This window comes from Homo sapiens, chromosome 21, assembly GCF_000001405.40.
Source record: "Homo sapiens chromosome 21, GRCh38.p14 Primary Assembly".
Lineage (NCBI taxonomy): Eukaryota > Metazoa > Chordata > Mammalia > Primates > Hominidae > Homo > Homo sapiens.
The window spans coordinates 36,754,643-36,776,890 of NC_000021.9; the positions used below are offsets into that span (position 1 = coordinate 36,754,643).

A 22,248-nucleotide genomic window follows, 5' to 3' on the forward strand; every position below is an offset into this window, starting at 1 on the left:
CGAAATTTCTTCACACAACGTCACTCCTCCTAATTCTGGTCATCTGCGGTGATGGCTGGAACCACTTCCTCACCTCCCAGCGCTTTTAAGAAACACTGTGCAACTCTAGGTTTTTTGGCTGAGATTGGAGGAAAATAGGCCGAGTTGGCAAACAATGTTTTATCTTATAAAACAAAGTTGGCTCATATCAGCCACAAGTGAAACTCATCCTGATCCTACTTCTTTTGAATATTTTCCAAATGTACTCAAGTCACGTCCTTCTTAACAGCTTTCGAAGTATAGAATTTTCTCAAGTTTTTATTTTGAAGAATTTTAAATCTAAAGAAAAGCTGAAAGAATAGTGCAACAAACCTCATATTCTCTTCCATTCTCACACCAAATGAAAATATTTTCTGTATTTGCTTTCTTTCTTCACACATAAACACACACAAGCACACATTTTTTTTTCCTGCAACATATAAAGATAAGTTGCAGCTGGGTGTGGTAGCTCATGTTTGTAACCTTAGCACTTTGGGAGGCCAAGGTGGGAGGATTGCTTGAGGCCAGGAGTTCAAGACCAGCCTGGGCAATATAGTGAGACCCTGCCTCTACAAAAAAATTTTTTTTTAAATTAGCGGGCCGTGTGGCACACTCCTATTGTCTCAGCTACTTGGGAGGCTGAGGCAGGAGGATCATTTGAGCCCGGGAGTTCAAGGTTTCAGTAGTGAGCTATGATGGCACCACTGCACTCCAGTGACAGAGCAAGACCCTCTCTAAAAAAAAAAAAAGTGAAAATAAAAAAAGTTTTTTAAAAGCTGCAGGCATTGTGACACTTTCTGCTTAAATACTTTATCTCCTGAGAACAAGAACCTCCCATAAAATTATAATAGCATTAACTATGACCACTCAAGAAAGTCTGGATACAAACGGTCCATGTTCACGTCATTCCCACTGTCCTTTTAATATCCTTTGTGGCTATTTCCCTCCATCCAGGATCACACACATTACATTTAGATGTCATGCCTCTTTCGTCTTCTCTAATCCCAAACAATTCTGCCACCTTCTTTTGGTCTAATTGTTTGTGCGCAGACCTGACATTTTTGCAGGGCACAGGCCTGTTGTTGTGGAATCAGTGAGCGGTCCTCGGACTTCAGCTGCATGAGAATCCCTGGAGTATCTGTTATGACACAGGGTGCTGGGCCCAGCCCAGGGGTTTCTGATGCAGTAGCCCCTGGTTGAGGCTGAGGCTGCTTCCTGGGATCTCACTTTGAGAACCACTGTTACCTGGAAGGTTTGACAATTTAGATGCGTCTATTGTTTCCTCACAATTAGAATCAGATTAAACCAATGTTAAACTCTCTCACTATTTCGGTTCTTCCCATCGCATCCCACCAGGAGGCATAAGATGCCCGTTTGCTCCATTACTTGTGATGCTAACTTGGTCAAGGTGGTGTCCCTGCAGTTTCTCTAACAGAGACACAGAAAATAATCATTCAGACCAGTGCTCGGTCCCTCATTTTAAGATACTGAACTACGGCCGGGCGCGGTGGCTCACACCTGTAATCCCAGCACTTTGGGAGGCCAAGGCGGGCAGATCACAAGGTCAGGAGATCGAGACCATCCTGGCTAACACGGTGAAACCCCACCTCCACTAAAAATACAAAAAATTAGCCGGGTGTGGCGGCGGGCACCTGTAGTCCCAGCTACTCAGGTGACTGAGACGAGAGACTGAGGCAGGAGAATGGCGTGAACCCGGGAGGCGGAGCTTGCAGTGAGCCAAGATCGTGCCACTGCACTCCAGCCTGGGCGACAGAGTGAGACTCCGTCTCAAAAAAAAAAAAAAAAAAAAAAAAAAAAGATACAGAACTACTAAGATACTAATAAAGGAGTTGAAAAGAATGAAGATGAGCCAGCACTGACCTGTGGACCCAGTATCGGTAATAAAGGGGAAGGACGCTGTTGGGCCCTTTGTCCTGAAACTCTTTGATCAGTTTCTCCAGCACAGTCACGACTCTGGCGATGAGATAATCGGCTCTTAAGGGCTTCAGTTCTGCCTTGTGTTGTTTATTGTATTCTGTGATGAGGTCGTTGATGCAGATGGTAGGGTTACTGTTAGTCACATTAAATCCACAGCCTGGACAAAAACAAACAATTGAGCAGCTCAGCCTGTTGATGGCATCACACATTCCTCTCTGCCACATGGAAAAAGTTACAGTCTTGACTGTCAACTTCCTCCTTCCTTGTCCTCATTTCAGATTTCGTGTCTCTAACCACTTGAAGAGTGACATGTATTTCTGTCCATCTTCCTTTTTGTCCTTCTTTTATTATTCTTGTTCAAGCTAAAACCATCTCAACCTTACTGCAAATAAAAAGGTGGGAAAAAAGAAAGCCACATTTGATTCAATTTAATTCAATAGAAGCTATTAAATATGGGACAAAACGTATCAGTGTTGCCTCTGAAATAAGTGGTCTACCAAGCATTGTAGCTCTGCACTGAGTCCAGGAGAGAATAAAATCTCTGGTTTCTTCTCCTGCTTGAATAACAGATCCCACGCTTGAAAATAGAGTTTTATTCAGGACTTGGGAAGTAAACTCTGGACTCAGAGATTTCAAACCTTGGTCATGGCATAACCCTAGAAATGCATCTTTTAATACTTTATTCTTGGAAGTCTTTGGTGCTAAGGTTACGCTGTTGGCAAGACGCCGACTCATGTTCAGTGGCTTTTTGCAGGGTCCTAAACCAAGGCTTCATGAGAGTTACCAGGGATGGTGTCTGAATAGGCTTATCTGTGCAGTTACTTAACACCACTATCCTCTCCAGGCAGAGGGCGGTGTCTTCAGAAAAGCTGGACTTCAGTGTTCAGCAGGGCCCTGAATCGGCCTGCGAGAGGTCTTCAGTAAGAAATGAAATACTGCAAAAACTAAGCAGTAAGAAAACTACCATGTTTTCAGTGACTTTAAGAAAAAAAATCCCCAAAACATTCGCCACAGGCAGAACAATGCCATTTGTAACAACAGCCTTCCCGGCAAGTGTCCTGCCGTTTCCAGTGTGAAGGGAAGGATTGACTGGTCTCAGATTTTAAAACAATATACTGGCTATTAAAATACAAAGCAATTGTCAATTACCTCTGGAAAAAAAACAAGTAACTACAGCAACAGGGGCAGGACTTGCAGTTGCTCACGTATTCATTCATTCAATACATACAGGATCTGAAGCACCTACTGAACGTTCGTAAGGCATTAAATCAAGTGCTGTACAGCACTGAAAATTCTCCCGTGTTCAGAAAACTGGAATTCCTAGGAGGAGTAGCAACACTCACTACTGGCCACTTAGGCTATGTCCTTCTAAGGACCGGTGAGCACCCTGCTGGCTGCTCTGAATCCCCAAAGTCAGAGACCCCATCCTATGGCCTTCAGAATTCAATAAAAGCTATGGGTTCTCACCATAGGAAAATGTTTCATTCCCCTACTTTATTTTTTATTTTTATTTATTTATTTTTTGGAGACGGGGTCTCACTCCAGTTGCCCAGACTGGAGTGCAGTGGAGCCCTCATAGCGCACTGCAGCCTCAACCTCCTGAGCTCAGGTGATTTTCCCATCTCAGCCTCCTGAGTAGCTAGGACTACAGGCAGGCACCACCACGCCCAGCTAATTTTTTGTATTTTTAGTGGAGACAGGGTTTCGCCATGTCACTCAGGCTGGTCTCGATCTCCTGGACTCAAGCAATCCACCCACCTCAGGCTCCTGAAGTGCTGGGATTACAGGCATTGAGCCACCACACCTGGCCTATTTTTTATGTTTTATTTTTGAAACAGGGTCTCACTCTGTCATCCAGAATGGAGTGGAGTGGCTCGATCAAAGCTCACTGTAGCCTTGAACTCCTGGGCTCAAGTGATCTACCTGCCTCAGTCTCGCAAGTAGCTGGGATTATGAGCTCAAGCCACTACGCCTGGCCTTCGCTTACCCCACGCTGATAACATTTGTTAGCTCCCTGAAGCCATCCATGAGCCTGCTTGTGGCCCCTACCTAGGAATCTCTGCATCAACTGCAATTACTCACTTAAAGATAGGAAATGGGGGAGACTGGGCAAGTGGCTCACGTCTGTAATGCCAGCACTCTGGGAGGCCGAGGCGGGCGGATCATGAGTTCAGGAGTTTGATACCAGCCTGGCCAACATAGTGAAACCCTGTGTCTACTAAAAATACAAAAAAATTAGCTGGGTGTGGTGGCGGGCACCTGTTCTCCCAGCTACTTGGGAGGCTGAGGCAAGGAGAATCACTTGAACCTGGGAGGCGGAGGCTGCAGTGAGCCGAGATTGCACCACTGCATTCCAGCCCGGGCAACAGTGCTGGACTCCATTTCAAAAAAAAAAAAAGATAGGAAATGGAGCTTTAAGGGTATGAAGTAGCTTGCCTAGAATAATATTGCCCCTTGGTGGCAGAGCTGGTAACACAGGCCTTGTATTCCCTGGCTGGCACTTGAAACACATGGTTACATGTTTTTTGACCATTGCTGGTTTCTGAACACAGATTAGGTTCTACTGCCACAGAGTGAGGCTGATGACTGGACGGCCAGGAACCTAAGGACTTCTGAGATTGCCTCTGAATCCATCTTCTTGCCTGATTTGGATGTGCTAAGGTGAAACAGGGATTCTTTACCCCGCCTTGACCAGCATGGAGCTTCTTCTGAAGGTTAAAATGATGCCAGCTCTTTCATGGCCCAGGAAGGTCACGATAAGAATGCAAGACACCAGGAGAACTATTTAGGAAATTAACTTTTCTTTTTCTTATTACAGAATAGAACGTTAAATGTTTATTTTCACCATTTCAAATTCAATGAGTAGCAGGAGTGTGGAAGGATGTAGGAACATACCTGTTTGATGTGATACCACTTTGGTGGTTCCCGTGGTCACACACAGAAAATGCTAAACCCTGTGAAGTGCTTTCGACCAATCTCTCTGCATCTATACCCTGCTCCAAAACTACAAGACTCAAAGTAACCTCATATGATAATCTGCTCCTGCCAATGTAGGCATGCATAAACCGTCTTTATTTTTATTGTTTTATTAATCTAAAAATGCTGGGGGAAAGGTTTTTGAAACTTACCAATAAGTATATAAAATGTTTCTCCCATGAGTGTTGAGTTAACCAGAACTCCGCCGATCTTCATGAGGTCACTGTAATAAATATCGTTGGGCCACTTCACTCGTAAGTTGATATCCTAAAGGGAAATCTGCACATTAATTAAGCCGTCACAGGACACAAGGGGCCCAGGCAAGTCACTGAGCTAAGGGAAGATAAGCAGAAACCAAGGTAACATGGGCCTCGTCCTCTCCTCTTTTTCAGGCAGCTAATCACTTCTTTGGGACAATCCGATATTGAAGTGCCTCTTGGGGCCAGGAGGTAAAAGCCCTGAAGAACACAGTTGACATAAACCCCAGCATTCTTCCCCATCCCCCAGCACTGTTTCTCATCATCCAAAACCCTTTCTGAAGATGCTTACCTTGTAAATGAAGTTCATTATGTCAGTATCCACCACCACCACCACCATGGAGTAGCTAACTAACGTGCTAGGGCCAGAGGGTGGGGAGAGAATAGTAATCTCAGGGGGCGTCTCCCTTCAGGAACCCATGCTTGAGAGACAAAGATGGCCCTGAATTAACCAAGGTCACAAAAGGCAGGTAGAAATGTCTTGAGTAGCAGGCAGTGGCCAGGCGCGCTGGCTCACACCTGTAATCCCAGCACTTTGGGAGGCTGAGGCGGGCGGATCACAAGGTCAGGAGTTCGAGACCAGTCTGGCCAACATAGTGAAACCCCATCTCTGCTAAAAATACAAAAAATTAGCTGGGTGTGGTGGTGTGCATCTGTAATCCCAGCTACTTGAGAGGCTGAGGCAGGAGAATTGTGCGAACCCGGGAGGCGGAGGTTGCAGCGAGCCGAGATCGTGCCACTGCACTCCAGCCCAGGTGACAGGGCGAGACTCTGTCTCAAAAAAAAAAAAAAAAGAATGCTGTGAAGATGCAGAGGAGAAATTCACCTTAGCGAAAGCCTCGCAGAACTGCTAATGGTCATCTTGGGTAATGGAACTGGACTTGTCATGTGGCCTATTGCCTCTGCGTCTTGAATGGTGTGGCCTGGGGGTGGGGGGGCTCTCCCTGTCATCAGCTTACAGAATGGACCAACACTGGACAGTGTCTCGAACAAGGCCACCCAGGCCTCTGCCTATCCACTGTGACTCTGAAGTTGGGACACAGAGACGGGGCTAGCCGAGTGGGTGTCAGAACCACCAGGTCTTTTAGACCTCGGGCTGGCAGCCAGGCTGTGCCATGTGTGGGTAAAGGAAGCCTGTCTGGAGATGCAAGGCTGGAAGAGAACATTCAGCAAAATAAAGCTAAGGGAGCAGAGAGTAGCTGATGGCCTCCAAGGGCCACGGGGCTGGTCTTCCCACGTTGCAGGCCGGGCATGGCACCAAGCACCTTCTCAGCATTAGTCTACGTGTTACTCACACCCAGCCTATGTGTTGGTGCTAGCGCATCCCCAGGGAACAGAGGGAGAAACGGAAGCTTAGAGAAATTATGTGGCTTGCCTGAGGTTATAGCACTTGAAAGCCACGGAGCTAAAATTCAAACCTTTCTGCCACCAGGCCTGGGTGAGGAATCCTATGCTACGCGGCCTGTTGCTTCCATGAAATCCCTTCCTCCTTCCAACAGGCCTTCTTTTGACTTCGGCCCGTTAGAGCATATTGGAAGCTCATCTGCCCTAAAACAGTAGTTTAGGCTGAGAGAAAAAATACAGGAATAGGAGCACAGGAGAACAAAAAGTCTAAGTAAACCAAGCATGGGGGGTGCGCAATGACCCAGAACTGATCAACAGCTTCACGTTTCTTTTCTCTCTAGAACGGGGGTTCTCAGTGGGAGAGGGGTGGATTTGGCGATACTGGGAGACTTCCCTGGTTGTCACAGCCTGAGGGAGTGCTACCGGCGTCTAGAGAGTAGAGGCCGCAATGCTGACACACATCCTTTAAGGCACAGGACATCCCCACGACAAACATGCCAGGGCCCACATATCAATAGCACTGGGCTGAGAAAGTCTCCTCTAGGAAACCTGTGTCTAGGAGGCTCTGCTCTTCATCACTGCCCCCAGTTCCCTTTCCTTCCCCTCTCTCGCCTTCCCACATCCCCCTGTGCCCACCACATGGCCAGGGGAATGAGCCCCTGCCTCGCCGGCGGGAGGACACCTGCAGAGTTCCCAGAGCTGTCAAGCTCCTCCGCCACGTGCGTGGCAGCTGGTGCCTGGGCGGGCCCTGCACTTGGGCTCCAGCTCGCCTTCATGGCTTCAGATCTCCTCGGCTCATGAAGCAGCTCATGAAACTCTGGGTTCTCACGCAGGTAAACAGGACCAGCATTTCCACATGAAGAGGAGGACTGTGTGCTCATTTTTCATTTTCTCAATCATTTATTCCAACAGCTGCTGTGATCCTCCCACATAAAAAAAGACCAAAATGAAACAAATCCTGCTTTTGAAGAGCTGCTAACATCATGGGAGACGGAACAGGTGCACACATCACTCCTCTTCAAAGCCACACGTGGTGGATACCCTAAAAGAGGCTTCAACATGGCAAGTGCTGGACAGTGCTGGAGGAAAGAGCTGGAAGTAGCTGGAGGGTCTGAGAATGGCACTGGAGCTGGGCCTTAAGGATGAACAGAATTTTAAGAAGCAGAGAAGAGAGCAGGGGTAGGGGTGTGTGGGTGGAGGGAGGGTGCGGGGCCCGGGGGGACTTCATGGACAGAAGAAAGAGCAGGAGTGAGAATGGGCGGCCCAAGGCGAGTTCCGGAAGGAATGCCTGCATCCCAGCGAGGCCGCCTTGGGTCTGGGGAGGGTGGTCATGATTTGTGTGCTGACGGTGACATCTGGTTAGGGACCAGTTGGGGTCCTAGTGAAGGCCACACAAAAAGTGAAATCCAAACAACAGGGGCCTATTTCAATCAAAGTAGCTGCACTGTGTCAGCTAACTTGACTATGTTAAAAAAGAAACCCAATTCAAAATCAAATGTCCCATCACACAGGTGAGGCTGGGTAGCTGACTGCAGAAGAGGGAAAGAACATTGGTACAAGCTTCTTAAGGAGAACGGGAACACAAATTCCCCCGACCCCGTTCACCGCTGAAGGCAAGCTTCCCACTTCCATCCTGGCCTCCAGCGCCTGGCGCACGCAGCCTCTGAGCACAGCAGGCCCTCAAAGAATGCTCGCTAAGGGAACTAGTGGGGCTCCAAGGTCAAAGTCAGAGCCATGAAAAAGCTAAACAGACCAAACAGACTCATTTAATGTTCTCGGCTTAGTGTTTGTTTTAGTTATTTTCCTAAGACTAACTTGTTGCTAGAGTTAATTTCTCCCATGACAGGACTTTCTTTCTTCCTTTTTTTGATACGAGTCTCACTCTGTCGTCCAGGCTGGAGTGCAATGGCACAATCTCGGCTCACCGCAACCTCTGCCTCCCGAGTTCAAGCGATTCTTGTGCCTCAGCCTCCCGAGTAGCTGAGATTACAGGCACCCATCACCATGTCTGGCTACTTTTTGTGTTTTTAGTAGAGATGGGGTTTCACCATGTTGGCCAGGCTGGTCTCAAACTCCTGCCCTCCTCAACCTCCCAAAGTGCTGGGATTACAGGCATGAGCCACCGCGCCTGGCCAGGACTTTCTATTTTGATTGCTTCCTGCTAGACAGAATGCACAGCTCAGGTGCTCAAGGCCGGGCACCTGAAGCCCTGTAATGGTGTGATGCCCCCAAACCATCAGATATGCAAGGATGCTGGGTGCCTGGTAGTAAGCGTCCGTTTCAGCGATGTGATGTAATACAGGAAACAGAGACGTCAGCATTAACTACATCTGTGGAATACCAAAAATTCATACACAGCAAATACATCACAGAGGGATTTAAGGGGCAGTGAGAAGGACCTTTTCTTCAATGAAATGATGACAGGACCTCCAAGTCTCCTTTGAGAGTCACGCTCTTAACATCTTGCTTCAGGAATCAATCCAATCATTTCTCTTTAGCCTGACATAGGAGCTGCTGGGGGAGGGAGGCAGGAATCTCCTATTTATACCCATATGAAATTCTTCCAGGAACATTTGGGAGGGGGCTATGGGAAGTGAAGCCCAAGTAGGGAAGAAAATGCTTCGGTCACTGAGCTAATTGTTCCCTGTTGCTTGTCTTTTTAATAACTGACAACAAAACATCCAACAGTAATAAGGAAGCAGGCACACGGGTCCTAATAGCTGGGGGAAGATGGCCCCAAGTGGATCTGCACATTGTATGTGGTCAACAGTGGATAAAGGATAGTTCTGTTAGAGCACAGAGTCTGGTAAACAGAAGTAGGAAATGAGAAAGGTTTTTAGGTCCCCAAATAACCCTTTTCAACAGAAAATGCAGATGAACAACTTCAATCCAGTCCAACAATCAAATCTCATCCAGTGCTTCAAACAAAAAACAAACATGCAGCTGGGCGTGGTGGCTCACGCCTGTAATCCCAACACTTTGGGAGGCTGAGGCGGGCGGATCACAAGGTCAAGAGATTGAGACCATCCTGGCCAACATGGTGAAACTCCATCTCTACTAACAACACAAAAACTAGCTGTGTGTGATGGTGCACACCTGTAGTCCCAGCTACTCAGGAGGCTGAGGCAGGGGAATTGCTTGAACCCTGGAGGCGGAGATTGCAGTGAGCCGAGATGGCGCCACTGCACTCCAGCTTGGTGACAAAGTGAGACTCTGTCTCAAAAAAATAAATACATAAGTAAACATGACCAGGTGCAGTGGCTCATGCCTATAATCCCAGAACTTTGGGAAGCTGAAGCAGGCAGACTGCTTGAGCTCAGGACTTCAAGACCAGCCTGGGCCACATGGTGAAACCCCATCTCTACTAAAAATACAACAAAAGAGCCAGGGGTGGTGGTGTGTACCTATGGTCCCAGCTACTCGGGAGGCTGAGGTGTGAGGATTGCTTAAGACTGGAAGGTGGAGGTTGCAGTGAGCCGAGATAGTGCCACTGCACTCCAGCGTGGGTGACAGAGTGAGACCCTGTCTCAATTAAAATAAATAAATAAACAACAACAAAAACCAAAAACTAAAGCGTTGCCCTCATCAGGCTGTTTGAGAAATCTGAAAAACTGGGTAGAAAGGGAGTTCTGGGGAATGAATGCATTCAGGCAAGCCTGAAGCAGCATTAGCACCTGGTGGTGCTCTGAAAACTCCGAGAGCACTTTGCTGCCAGCTGTGCAAAGGGTAGGCTGAGGTTCTACAGCCACCAATTATGCAAGCACATGCTATAAACAAGAATAAGCCAGATTCTGCATGCATCCCAGGGACATAGAAGGAGACTGAACTGTACCTACCTGATACTCGGGAATGGACCTCACTGCTTCCACGACAGCCACGGACATCAGATGCTGGACAAACGGGATCCTCTGTCCCAGCTGGGATCTCAGTGGAATGGAGATGAGCAGAGTAGAAAGAGCACATCCCACAGGGCTCAGCCACACATTCCCTCCCCGTCCTGGAACACAGGCCACAGTGGGAAACATGCTACCTTGCCACGTGGACAGACGCAGACACACGTCATGCCAGGGCCACACACTCAAATAAATCTGAACTTATTACAATGCTTATTGTATTACAACGCTTATTATATTCTGGGCTTAATAAAAGAAAAGCTTTTTAAAATCTGAAGCTCTGTTGCTGAAAAAGTTTCCAATAATTAGCATAATGTTCTGCTTCTGTGAGCATATCATTTGTGCCTTGATGACTCAGAGTCTTACAGCGTCTGAACATGACTATATGACTATAGGTTTAATTCCCAGCATATGGTCATGAAGGCAAACACAGACATTGGGAAACTGAACTGAATCTATACTGATCCATGAGAGGTCCTGGAAGCCACTGTTTAGAAGCAATTCCTATTGTGGCGATGGTTGCTCAGCCCAGCAAATATGCCATTAAATAAGAGCCACAGAACTGTGTACTTTATTTATTTTTATTATTATTTTTTAAGATGGAGTCTCACTATGCCACCCAGGTTGGAGTGCAGTGCGTGTGATCTCAGCTCACTGCAACCTCTGCCTCCTGGGTTCAAGTGATTCTCCTGCCTCAGCCTCCCAAGTAACTGGGATTAAGGTGCCCGCCACCATTCCCAGGTAAGTTTTGTATTTTTAGTAGAGACAGGGTTTCACCATGTTGGTCAGGCTGGTCTTGAACTCCTGACTTCAAGTTATCTGCCCGCCTCGGCCTCCCAAAGTGTTGGGATTACAGGCATGAGCCACCACGCCCAGCCACACTTTAAATGGAGGAATTATATTTCAATAAAGCTGTTTAAAAAGGGATTCCTGATATTAACTGAGTTGTTATTTTTCTTTACTTCCTTTCTTTCTTCCTTTTTATTTTTGAGACAGGGTCTTGCTCTGTTGCCTAGGCTGGAATGCAGTGGCGTGATTACAGCTCACTGGGCTCAAGTGATGCTCCCACCTCAGGCTCCCAAGTAGTTGGGACTACAGGTGAGTACCACCATGCCCGGCTGATTTTTGTATTTTTTTTAAGAGATGGGTCTTGCTAAGTTGTCCCAGCTGGTCTTGAACTCCTGGGCTCAAGTGATCTTCTGCCTTGGCCTCTCAAAGTGGTGGGATTATAGGCATGAGCCACTATGCCTGGCCTACTTTTCTTAAAATTGAAGTTAGAAAAATAGAAGAATCCAAATGAGAGGTAGAGTTCATCAAAGTTCTTCTTGAATGTCTTTTTCAAAAAACAAAAAAAAAATCCACATATTGAGATCCATAGCTTTTGACAAAAACATTTTTTTTTTCCATTTGAATTATATTTGAAAGACATGGTTCAGGAGAAAGAAGTGGAGAACAGCAGATTTCTTATTTCTTTGGTTCTTATGAAAAAGTCATAAGAGGCTGTGAGAGTGAGAAGCACATGTGGGTGAGCCTGGCACTGGCTGGAGCAGGGAGGGGCCAAGCCCCGTGGAGCAGCCCCTGTACAGGGTCAGACCCCAGATGGGTCTGGGAGGATGTGGGCTCTCGTCTCCGGGATCTGCAGGTGGTGGAGCCCTGGGCAGCGCTCTGCTTCTCTGTGGTCACTGTGTGAATGGGCACTGATGCAGAGCCCACCATGTACATGCAAGCCCAGCCCAGGGCCAGCTGGGGTGAGAACTGGCATGCAAAAGGCCTCCCACATGACGCTCAGTACAGACACAGAAGGCTCCTTATGGAGAACCTTCAGGAAAATAAACGTCTCTAGAGCACAGTGACGATCCCCAAATTGGAAAGCCCGGAATTCATGTAGGTCACATTTGCCATCACAGGCAAATGTCCAGTGATTCATAAGCATTATGATTTGACAGAATGCTTTAGTTCTACTAAGGGTGAACCTTCTGATCACTGCTTCCCTCTTCCTCTTCCTCCATTCCAGGCGGTTATGAAAACAGAATCTACTAACTTGAGTCCCCCAGATGATCAGCACACACATTCAATGGGCTCCTGGGCCACAAGAGTTGCAGAGTTTAGAAAACAGAAGTAACAGCAATGATCACAAAAGATGACTGACCTTTGCCCTCGGTCTGCCGGGCCGCGATCACTATTAAGCCCATTTCCTGCGGTGTCTGAAACATCAGCCTGCCGAAGAGGGGGAAAGACCGGTTAGGCCAGACATGGACACGCCCGCGGCACCAATGGCTCACACAGGAGGGACAGGGTTTGCATGCATCTGGGGGTGTGTGGCCATGGAAGGGCCAACTTTGGTTCCACTGGCCTTCAGGAATGTGGAGCCATGAGGGATATCACCCTCCTTTCTAACCTGGGTCGTGAGAATGAAAGAGATGAAGAAAGCACCTTTTAACATCAAAAAAAGAGCATGCGAGGGGGCGTGTGTACCTGCCTGAGCCGTTACTCCATTTATTAAAGACTTGGTTAGATTCTATTTCATCAGAATATCCTGCCAAGTTCTTTCTCCCCCCACCCCCAATGTATGTACCTTCTTCAAGTGACAACTAGCAATTCCTGACATTTGTTCCTACTTAGGGTGCACTTCTGTTTGAACACTAGAACACAATCATAACAGAAGTTTCTGATTATTCAGAAAACCAATATGGTGGCAATAAAGCCGTTTAAAAGACACACTATCCCCTGAGAACTAATTATGATTTAACTATGGTAAATAAATCCACACCTTCTGAGGACGCAGGAGAACTCTGCATCGTTTTCGGCTTCAGTCCTGCTTTTAAAATGGTTTCATTGAAAAGAATACAAACTTTCCTTTGGGGGATAGGTAGAAAAGGGCATTACATCCCCACCAAATGAGTCGATATTAACTTTTTTTCAAAAAAAGGAAAGAAAAAAAAATCACACAAAAACTCCCACTCTGAGAATTTCCTGCAAGCTGCGCTCTCCCTATTTTAACCCCGTGGTAGGACAGTTCCTCTCTACGTGCCCAGGAATTGCCGATCAGGTGCTGCGCAGGCGCGGTTCGAGGTAGGATTCATCAACAGAGCAAAGATCAGGTTTGGCCACTTTGTCAGTGCAGATGAGGGGGCCTCTTTGATTTTTTTCTTTTCTTTTCTTTCTTGGAAGGAGGGGAGCAGCCAGGACAGGGATGCGGAAGGGATGGCATTTTGTAATAACATAAAGTTTCTAATAATAAGTCTCCAGGCTTCCACAGTGGTCCTGCTGAGGACAAAGGAGCGCTAGAGAAAGACCACGCTGAGAAGCTTATCATCCTCCCCTCCCAGCTACAGAAACTGGGTGGAACTTTACAAATGGCTGGAACTCGGTAAGAGAAGAAAAATACTTAAAAGCAGAGAGAAACAACACTGTGTCCACTGTGCACCCATGGCTCACAGAGCTCCGTCTGACGGCGCATGCAGGCCTCAGTTGGGACAGAAGGAGCCCAGAAGACCCTTCACGTGTTAAAAAGACCTCAGGACACACAGGGCAGGGGCTCAGCTGCTGAGATAGCTGTCTTCCCACACGGCTGCTGGAACAGGCACAGGACGCTTTCGGCGAGCAGGCTGGCCTCGCCGCCCATGTGCCAGGCCCACTCCATCTCACATGAAATACAGCTCAGAAGTATTTCTCTTGGACGCCATGAATAACTCATTGAGATCGAGTGTGCTGTATGCCACTGGGTCCAAGAAGAAAGCGTCCTTTTCTTGTGTTGGACCAGCAGAAAATCTAAGAAGGAGTCTTTGTCTGTGCAGGGAGTTAACATTGTCTTTCAGGCACCTCTGTTTTCTAGAGGGTCCAGCAACCCTCCACCTGGCTTCCTAAGGCCCAGGGCTCTCGAGGTGATGGGGCAGGGGCCGAGGGGATGATTTAGCGTGTTGTGAGCAGATCGCAAAAGCAATCTAGGATGTTCTGTAAATAAACATGTAGACGGTAGACAGTCATGGGCTATAGCCAGGGACAGTGATGGGAGGGGCAGGAAAAAGGTTGGTTCAGAAACCAAACACAGACTTCTAGAACAAAGAGAAATGATTAAGGGAACATATGCACTAAACTGCTAGAGGTTTGGCAGCAGTTAACAGGGCATATTAATGAGAAGAGGGAGTCTGTGCTGAAGGCCAAGAGGAAATTCTGCAAGGAGGGAGACAACCGGGGAAGGAGCTAATGCTCAGTTTGAGACAACTGGAGGCCGCCAGATTTATTTGTGCTATCTGAGATAACTCTGGGGCCAAACCGCATGGCTCACAGTCAACAAAGCAGCATTTATAAACCTTGTCAATTCTGCATTTCTGAAAATGAAGCTGCTTGAGTTTGCTTTAGCAGAAAGGAGAAACCATAAATGCATTTCCATCCTTAGCGGATGATGTCCTTACAAAAAGAAAAAGGAAAAACAAAAAGGAGGGGGGTTCCATAATGATTACCTCCCTGCTTCTGTATATTTTCCTTCCTTGCTGGCAAAGGTTGTGGAATAAAAGCTTTCTGTGAGTGGCAGCCGAGTGCATTCACTGTGGAACCAAAGCGGCACTCAGGAAAAGCGCTCTGTTTTGTACTCTTGTGTTGAGTCTGAAACATTTGGAGCCTCCTAAGGGTCACTCTGCAAATGAGACAGCCTCCTGACCACTTTGGTTACTAAGGACAGCCCAGTAGCCACGGAGGCTCTGCCAATGGAACTGTCCTGATTGTCACATGGTCCTTTAAGATTAAGCTTTAATGATTGGGAATAACCTAAGACAGGCCAGCATGAATTAATGAAAAATCCGAATGAACAAAAACGTAAATTCAGACCAAGTCCATCCACTTCGGGGATCTGAACCTAAGAAAATAGTCCACATTCACAACAGTGTTATAAAGGTAAAAATATGGAAACAACCTCACTGTTAATAAACAAATGGTTAAATAAATTCTGATAAATTAAGTCAATGGAATAATTTGTAATCAAATCATTATAGTTCTGAAGACTATATAGCAACGTGGAAGAAAGGCTTGCATTGGTATGTCAAATTAAAAAGCAGCATACAAAACTATAGATGCTTTTTTTTTTTTTTTTTTTTTTGAGATGCAGTCTCACTCTGTCGCCCAGGCTAGAGTGCAGTGGCATGAATCTCGGGTCACTGCAACCTCCATCTCCAAGGTTTAAGCAATTCTCCTGCCTCAGCCTCCCGAATAGCTGGGATTACAGGTGTGCACCACCATGCCCAACAAATTTTTGTATTTTTAGTAGAGACGAGGTTTCATCATGTTGGCCAGGCTGGTCTTGAACTCCTGGCCTCAAGCGATCCTCCTGCTTCAGCCTCCCAAAGTGCTGGGATTACAGGTGTAAGCCACCACGCCTGGCCAAAAACTACATATACTTTTATTCCAAGTATGTAAAATTCAAAAAGGGCAGGAAGGAGATTAGACAAAATGTTAATGATGGCTATATTAAGATTTTTTTTCTTTTATTTTAAAACTTTAATATGATGGGTAACCTTTCTTTTTTTTTTTCGTTTGAGATGGGGTCTTATTCTGTCATCTCAGCTAGAGTGCAGTGACTCACTATAGCCTGGACCTCCAGGGCTCAAGGGATCCTCCCACCTCAACTTCCTGAATAGCTGGGACCACTATGGGTTCATACCACCACACCTGGCTAATTTTTGTATTTTTTGGTAGAGACAGGGTTTGGTAGAGCCCAGGCTGGGTAACCTTTTGATTTAAAATTTATTTTGAATTTTTTTTGGAAAAAAGCATATTTTTACATTTAGATATAATATTGTAATTGACTATTCATAAATACAGAACTTCTAAGTATAAGACCAAAAGGTCCGTTTTAAAAAGAAATAAGACAATTGGCCGGGCGTGGTGGTTCCCGCCTGTAATCCCAGCACTTTGCGAGGCCGAGGCAGGCGGATCACGAGGTCAGGAGATCAAGACCATCCTGGCTAACACGGTGAAACCCCGTCTCTACTAAAAATACAAAAAAATTAGCTGGGCATGGTGGCGGGTGCCTGTAATCCCAGCTACTCGGGAGGCTGAGGCAGGAGAATGGCGTGAACCCGGGAGGCAGAGATTGCAGTGAGCCAAGGTTGCACCACTGCACTCCAGCCTGGGCGACAGAGCGAGACTCCGTCTCAAATAAATAAATAAATAAATAAATAAATATAAAATAAAATAAAAAGAAACAAGACAATCAACAATAGTTATTTGCAGTACCCATTTCATTATAACTAGTGAGCAGCTTATCTGATACTAACAAGTGAGCAGAAATTCTTGAAACCAGTCTGTTCAGACCCAGTGATAGCCTTAAACATGGTTTACTTCCTGACCCGGGGACTGTATTTCTACAGAATTGAAGCCTGAGGAGGACTCAGACAGGGACACAAAATAATTCAGGGGCTCAACTGTTCACCACAGCATTACTGATGCAGTGTGAAAAATCAGAAATAATCCAAACAGCCCACTGTTGAAGAATTAAAAAACCCACAGCAGTCCCACATGAAAGCCCATCATGTGGTCATCAGTAATGTGGGCAGATGACCACCGGACACTTTTAGGTGATTTAATCAGGATGCAAAATCCTACAGACAGCGTGAGTCCAATCATGTTTTGAAGTATGCTTTTAAAAATTATGGCCGGGCGCGGTGGCTCACGCCTATAATCCCAGCACTTTGGGAGGCCGAGACGGGCAGATCACTTGAGGTCAGGAGTTCGGGACCAGCTGGCCAACATGGTGAAACCCCATCTCTATTAAAAATACAAAAAATTAGCCGGGTGTGGTGGCGGGTGCCTGTAATCCCAGCTATGTGGGAGATTGAGGCAGGAGAATCACTTGAACCCAGGGGGCGGAGGCTGCAGTCAGCTGAGATCACACCACTGCACTCCAGCCTAGGCAACATAGAGACTCCAACTCAAAAAAAAAAAACAAAAATTATTAGGAAATATACCAAAATAATAGCTGCAGTTACCTTGGGGAGTGAACATATTTGAAAAATATAGAAAAATATTAAGTAGAACATAAGTCATCTAGGTAAGTCCCACTTCTCATTAAAAGTGTATATTCTTTTAGAATTTCTCTCTTTTTAGAAAACACAGATATATTTTACAAAGTATTTTTCTGATAATTAAAAATTTTTTATTTTGGAGCTCTTACAATGATGTAGATATATAATTATAGACATTATATTGTTAAAAAGTGAAAAAGAAGGTTAAAAACAGTATCGTAGAATGATTCTCTTTATATACGATATGTATTTATAGAAAAATACAGGGGCCAGGCTCAGTGGCTCATGCTTGTAATCCCAGCACTTTGGGAGGCTGAGGTGGGTGGATCACTTGAGCCCAGGAGTTCAAGAGCAGCTTAGGCCACATGGCAAAACCCCATGTCTATCAAAAAATACAAAAATTTAGCCAGGCATGGAGGTACATGCCTGTGGTTCCAGCTACTTGGGAGGCTGAGATGGGAGGATCACTTGAGGCAGGGAGTTCAAGGCTGCAGTGAGCAAAGATCATGCCACTGCACTCCAGCCTGGGCAACAGAGCAAGACACTGTCTCAAAAAAAAAAAAAAAAAAAAAGAAGGACACATATTAACAGTGGTTATCTCAAGAAGGTGGAAGAGGCCGGGCGTGTTGGTTCACGCCTGTAATCCCAACACTTTGGGAGGCCAAGGCGGGCAGATCACGAGGTCAAGAGATCGAGACCATCCTGGCCAACAGAGTGAAACCTGTCTCACTAAAAATACAGAAATTAGCTGGGCATGGTGGCGCGCACCTGTAGTCCCAGCTACTCGAGAGGCTGAGGCAGGAAAATGGCTTGAACCTGGGAGGCAGAGGTTGCAGTGAGCCAAGATTGTCCCACTGCACTCCAGCCAGGTGACAGAACAAGACTCCATCTCAAAAAAAAAAAAAAAAAGGTGGAAGTGTGGAAGTAGAATTATATGATGATTTAAATGTCTCCTTTATGTTGTTCTATATAATCTCTGGGTGGTAAGATTTCAAGTGATTTTTATTTCTCTCTTATACTTTACTGAATTTTCCAATATTTTTATAATTGTAGTGCATTCATTTTATAAATCCTATTAAAAAAAGATTTATTTAAGCCCAACCTATCAGTGGATTAAGCTTGCAGCTGCCAGTTCACTAGTTGGTGGAGCAATCTCCTTTCCAGCACAGATTGGCAAAGAAAGGGCGGCCAAGTGCAGGCAGCTTTCCCAGGCTGCCATACCTGTCCCGTGGCTCATTCCCTGCCGCACAGGCCAAGGCCACGGAGGGCTGGCAGTCTGCCACTGGGAGCAGCTGGCCTCTGGAAGCTGGGCTGTACCTCAGACTGGCCTCCCTTTCTAAAAGATGTTGTAAAGTCTTTCTCTGGAAAACACACCCCAAACCCTCCTAAGTCTGAGGCATCGTGCCCTGCAGCAGTCTGGCATGGGGTGGGTGTGAGGCGACCTCGAAGTCTCCCTCGGGCCTGGAGGGCTTCCTCAGCTCATGGTCCTGGCCTGACACCAGTCTGTGCTTCTCTTTGCTATCTTCTTTACCCCCCAGTTTTCTCAGCTCTGACCCTGTTCTTAGCTTACAGAGAGACACACACTCTCATGAGTGAAAAAGAAAGCCAATGGGAGGTGGCGAGGAAGAGGGAGAAGGGGGCCCCAGGCAGTCACACATTGAAGGTTCATAAGTTATTTTTCATTTTAAAAAAGCTGACTGGAAGATGAATTCCCACTGTTCATAACCCTGCTGCCCTCTGCTTAGTTCAAAGGAAGCAGTGCCGAACTTCATTTCAGAACTACTTTTAACACATATTACATTGTAAAAACCAACCATTACATCTGAGTAGCACTTTCTAAAAAGTTAAAACGCTAAAATATCAAGATATTTCATTTTTGTTAAAGTCACACTTTAACAATACGATTGATTTTTTTTAAGCTACTTTCTAGGCAGGAATGCACAAGATTGTTTTTTGAAAGGAAATGAACAGTGGTTTCTGCTAAAAAACGCCTCCACCGTAAAATGGAGTGAGGCCCATGAGACAGCTGTGCAACGCATGGGGACACAGTCAGGGGCAGAAGAGGCCCGACTTCTGACAGGTGACTTCTGAACTGGCGGCAGGGTCCACGGCACAAAGCTGAGGTGGCTGCCCCAGGACACTGCAGGGTCCTAGCCAGGGACCCTGGGGATATTATTCCTGGCAGCTACAGGAAGGTTCCCAAGGAACTTTAGAAACATCACAGCAGAGTGGAGACTCAGACAGGGAACGGGACAGATCTGGACTCGAATCCCAGTGTTGATATGAACATGGAGTAAGGGAATCCATCTCTCTCAGTCTCTCCAGTCACCTATAAAATGGAACATTTTGTGCAGTGTCAGTAAAAATGAAATATGATGGAATTTGCAAAGTGGTCCCTGTCATGTCGATCCTAGAACTTCTTGCTGCCAGAAGACAAGCAGCGCCTCCCCTTACCTCCTCCTCTTGGGGATAAGGAGGGAAGTCAGGGAGACAGAGGGAAGGAATGGAATGGTGGGGACAAATGTGTGTGTTTTACGACTCCTCAAAAATTCTATACGTGATGCCTCTCCTCTCTGTACCCATCCCTCATCACTTCTACCTACACACACTAAGGTGATCTCTATCTGGGCTAAAAACCTTGTAAGTGACACTAGCAATGGGGGATGCAGAATCTTCACTTCCAGTTCTAGGGTCTCTGAACCTACTCAGCAAAGCTACACATAGTTGGTTGAACTGGCTCTTCGGCTGACTTTGTTTAGGTGACTGCTTAGAAACACTGTTGGTCAGAGGTGTGCCCAGGCAGATAATAGAACAGTTTTATTGATATATTCTTCCATTCTATTCTGGATTTGACACTACGGCCTGCCCTTTCCTCAATGCACTCTGTTGGTATGCTTTAAATCATATCCCCTTTCCGCTCTTGGTGTAGAACAGGATGAATGTTTCAGTAGGAGGCAACACGGGAATCGGGACTGTTCAAAGAGCAGAGCCATCACAATCCTCCCACTGGAGCTCCCCAGAAGCAGAGAGATGCCTGTGGGTCAGGCCCTCTGTTAGAGACACCCGCTTCATTTCCGTAGCTCCTGGCATACCTGCCCTTCTTACGTTTTTGGCTAATCTTCCCCACGTCCAGCATAAGAGCGTCCACATTGCTGCTAAATAAATCATTTCATGGCTCCCAAGGAGCCCAGTGGATTCAGCTTTCAGAATGAGGCTCCTTTTTGGTAAGTCAAGCATTTACTAATGTTGGTCTGTATTATCCAATCAAAGTGAATACAAGCCACTGTTTCTTACCCTGACACTTCACCATAAATACTAGATGCCTGCGCATCCACTGCCTTCTATCTTAAACTGGTGCTATTACAGAATTTACAGATGAGCAAAGAAGCTTGCATAGAGAGAAATATTCATGGTGCCCACAGCCACCTCTGTGGCTGTACCTCAGCGGTAGCCCTGATGGCAGATCCCTGCCTCTGACGGCGAGCCTTCACTGCGCCACTGCACACCAGTACTCAGACTATCTGTCCCCACTCCTCCGCCAGGAGTCTCCGGATCCTCCACAAGATCTTCTCACCCCCCTTTTCAGGCTGTTCAGATCTCATAAATATGTCCATTTTTCTACAACTGGGTGTGGAGCGGCTCTTGGTGGAGAGTGTCCACAGCCTTGACCATAAGTCACCTGCCCCTAAAGAGGGTCTGCTACTGGGAAGTGCTGCCGCTATTTCAGAGGATGGACACCGACTCACGTGGACGACACAGCAAGCAGATGTCTGCGAACAGTGTTTCTGCAGGCACCAGGTAGATGTTTCAACTGGTCACCTGGAATTCACACCAATTTTTTGTGCTATGAGTGGCATTTTAGGTTCGTGATCTCATCCAAGCCTTCCAAAGCTGAGAAGAAGTCCTTCCTCACAGACAAGAGGACACAGTCTCAGAAAGGCAAAACCACTGCTATAAAGCCACATAGCAAGCAAACCAGAAATTCAAATCATGTTCTGGTTGGTTGTAAGGTCTATAATACTTTTTTCTTTTTAACCTTTTACTTCGAAATAATATCAGACTTAAAGAAAAGTTACAGGAAGAGTACAAAGCATTCCTACATGCCCTTCACACAGCACCCAGATTTCCTAAAGGTTCACTTTTTACCATATATGTTTTGTCCATCTGTCTATCCATCATTATTTTCTGAACCAGTTGAGAGTGAGCTGCAGCCCTAATGTCTCTGTATTCCTATATGCGTCTGTGTAGCTTCCTAAAACCCAGGGTTTATCTTACCTGATTATAGTACAATCACGGAAATCAACAGCCTTGTTACAACACTATTTTATGCTTTTTTTTTTCTTTTGAGATGGAGTTTCACTCTGTCACCCAGGTTAGAGTGCAGTGGCACAATCTAAGCTCACTGCAACCTCCGCCTCCCAGGTTTAAGCGATTCTCCTGCCTCAGCCTCCTGAGTAGCTGGGATTACAGGCGTGCACCACCATGCCCGGCTAATTTTTGTATTTTTAGTAGAGATGGGGTTTCACCACGTTGGTTGGGCTGGTCTCGAACTCCTGACCTTGTGATCCACCCATCTCAGCCCCCCAAAGTGCTGGGATTACAGGCGTGAGCCACCGCACCCGGCTGATATGGCACTATTATCTAATCCAGAGGTCAGCAGAATTCTCTATAAAAGGTCAGAGAGTAAATACTGTAGGCTCTGCAGCCGTATGGTTTCTGTGCTCAATTGCTCAAACCTGCCGTCCGAGGGCAAAGGCAGCCATGCCTGTGTCTCAACATTTACGGACATAAAAATTTGAATTT

The 22,248-nt window shown here is 46.3% G+C and overlaps 1 protein-coding gene across 14 annotated transcripts in view, besides 1 other annotated feature; it reads right to left on the reverse strand.

Annotated features, from left to right (window-relative positions):
* The window catches only part of HLCS (holocarboxylase synthetase), a 241,587-nt gene that overhangs the window by 6,018 nt on the left and 213,321 nt on the right, over positions 1–22,248 (reverse strand). For 11 of the 14 annotated variants that reach the window (XM_024452065.2, NM_001352517.1, NM_001242785.2 and 8 more), the window contains 4 exons: positions 12,576–12,643; positions 10,370–10,530; positions 5,085–5,199; positions 1,900–2,113 (listed from right to left, as the gene is read on the reverse strand). In XM_024452065.2, the coding sequence (XP_024307833.1) occupies positions 1,900–2,113; positions 5,085–5,199; positions 10,370–10,530; positions 12,576–12,643 (558 nt within the window). Of the gene's footprint in view, positions 1–1,899; positions 2,339–5,084; positions 5,200–10,369; positions 10,531–12,575; positions 12,644–22,248 lie in introns of those variants that run through there. The other 3 variants (NR_148021.1, NR_148020.2, XM_047440753.1) reach the window with 2 other exon arrangements.
* Positions 1,766–2,267: an enhancer, noted in NCBI's record as "NANOG hESC enhancer chr21:38128709-38129210 (GRCh37/hg19 assembly coordinates)". NCBI's record gives its function as "activates a minimal SCP1, AML or CMV promoter by ChIP-STARR-seq in primed H9 embryonic stem cells {active_cell/tissue: H9 hESC(primed)}" and the evidence as "EXISTENCE:reporter gene assay evidence [ECO:0000049][PMID:30033119]".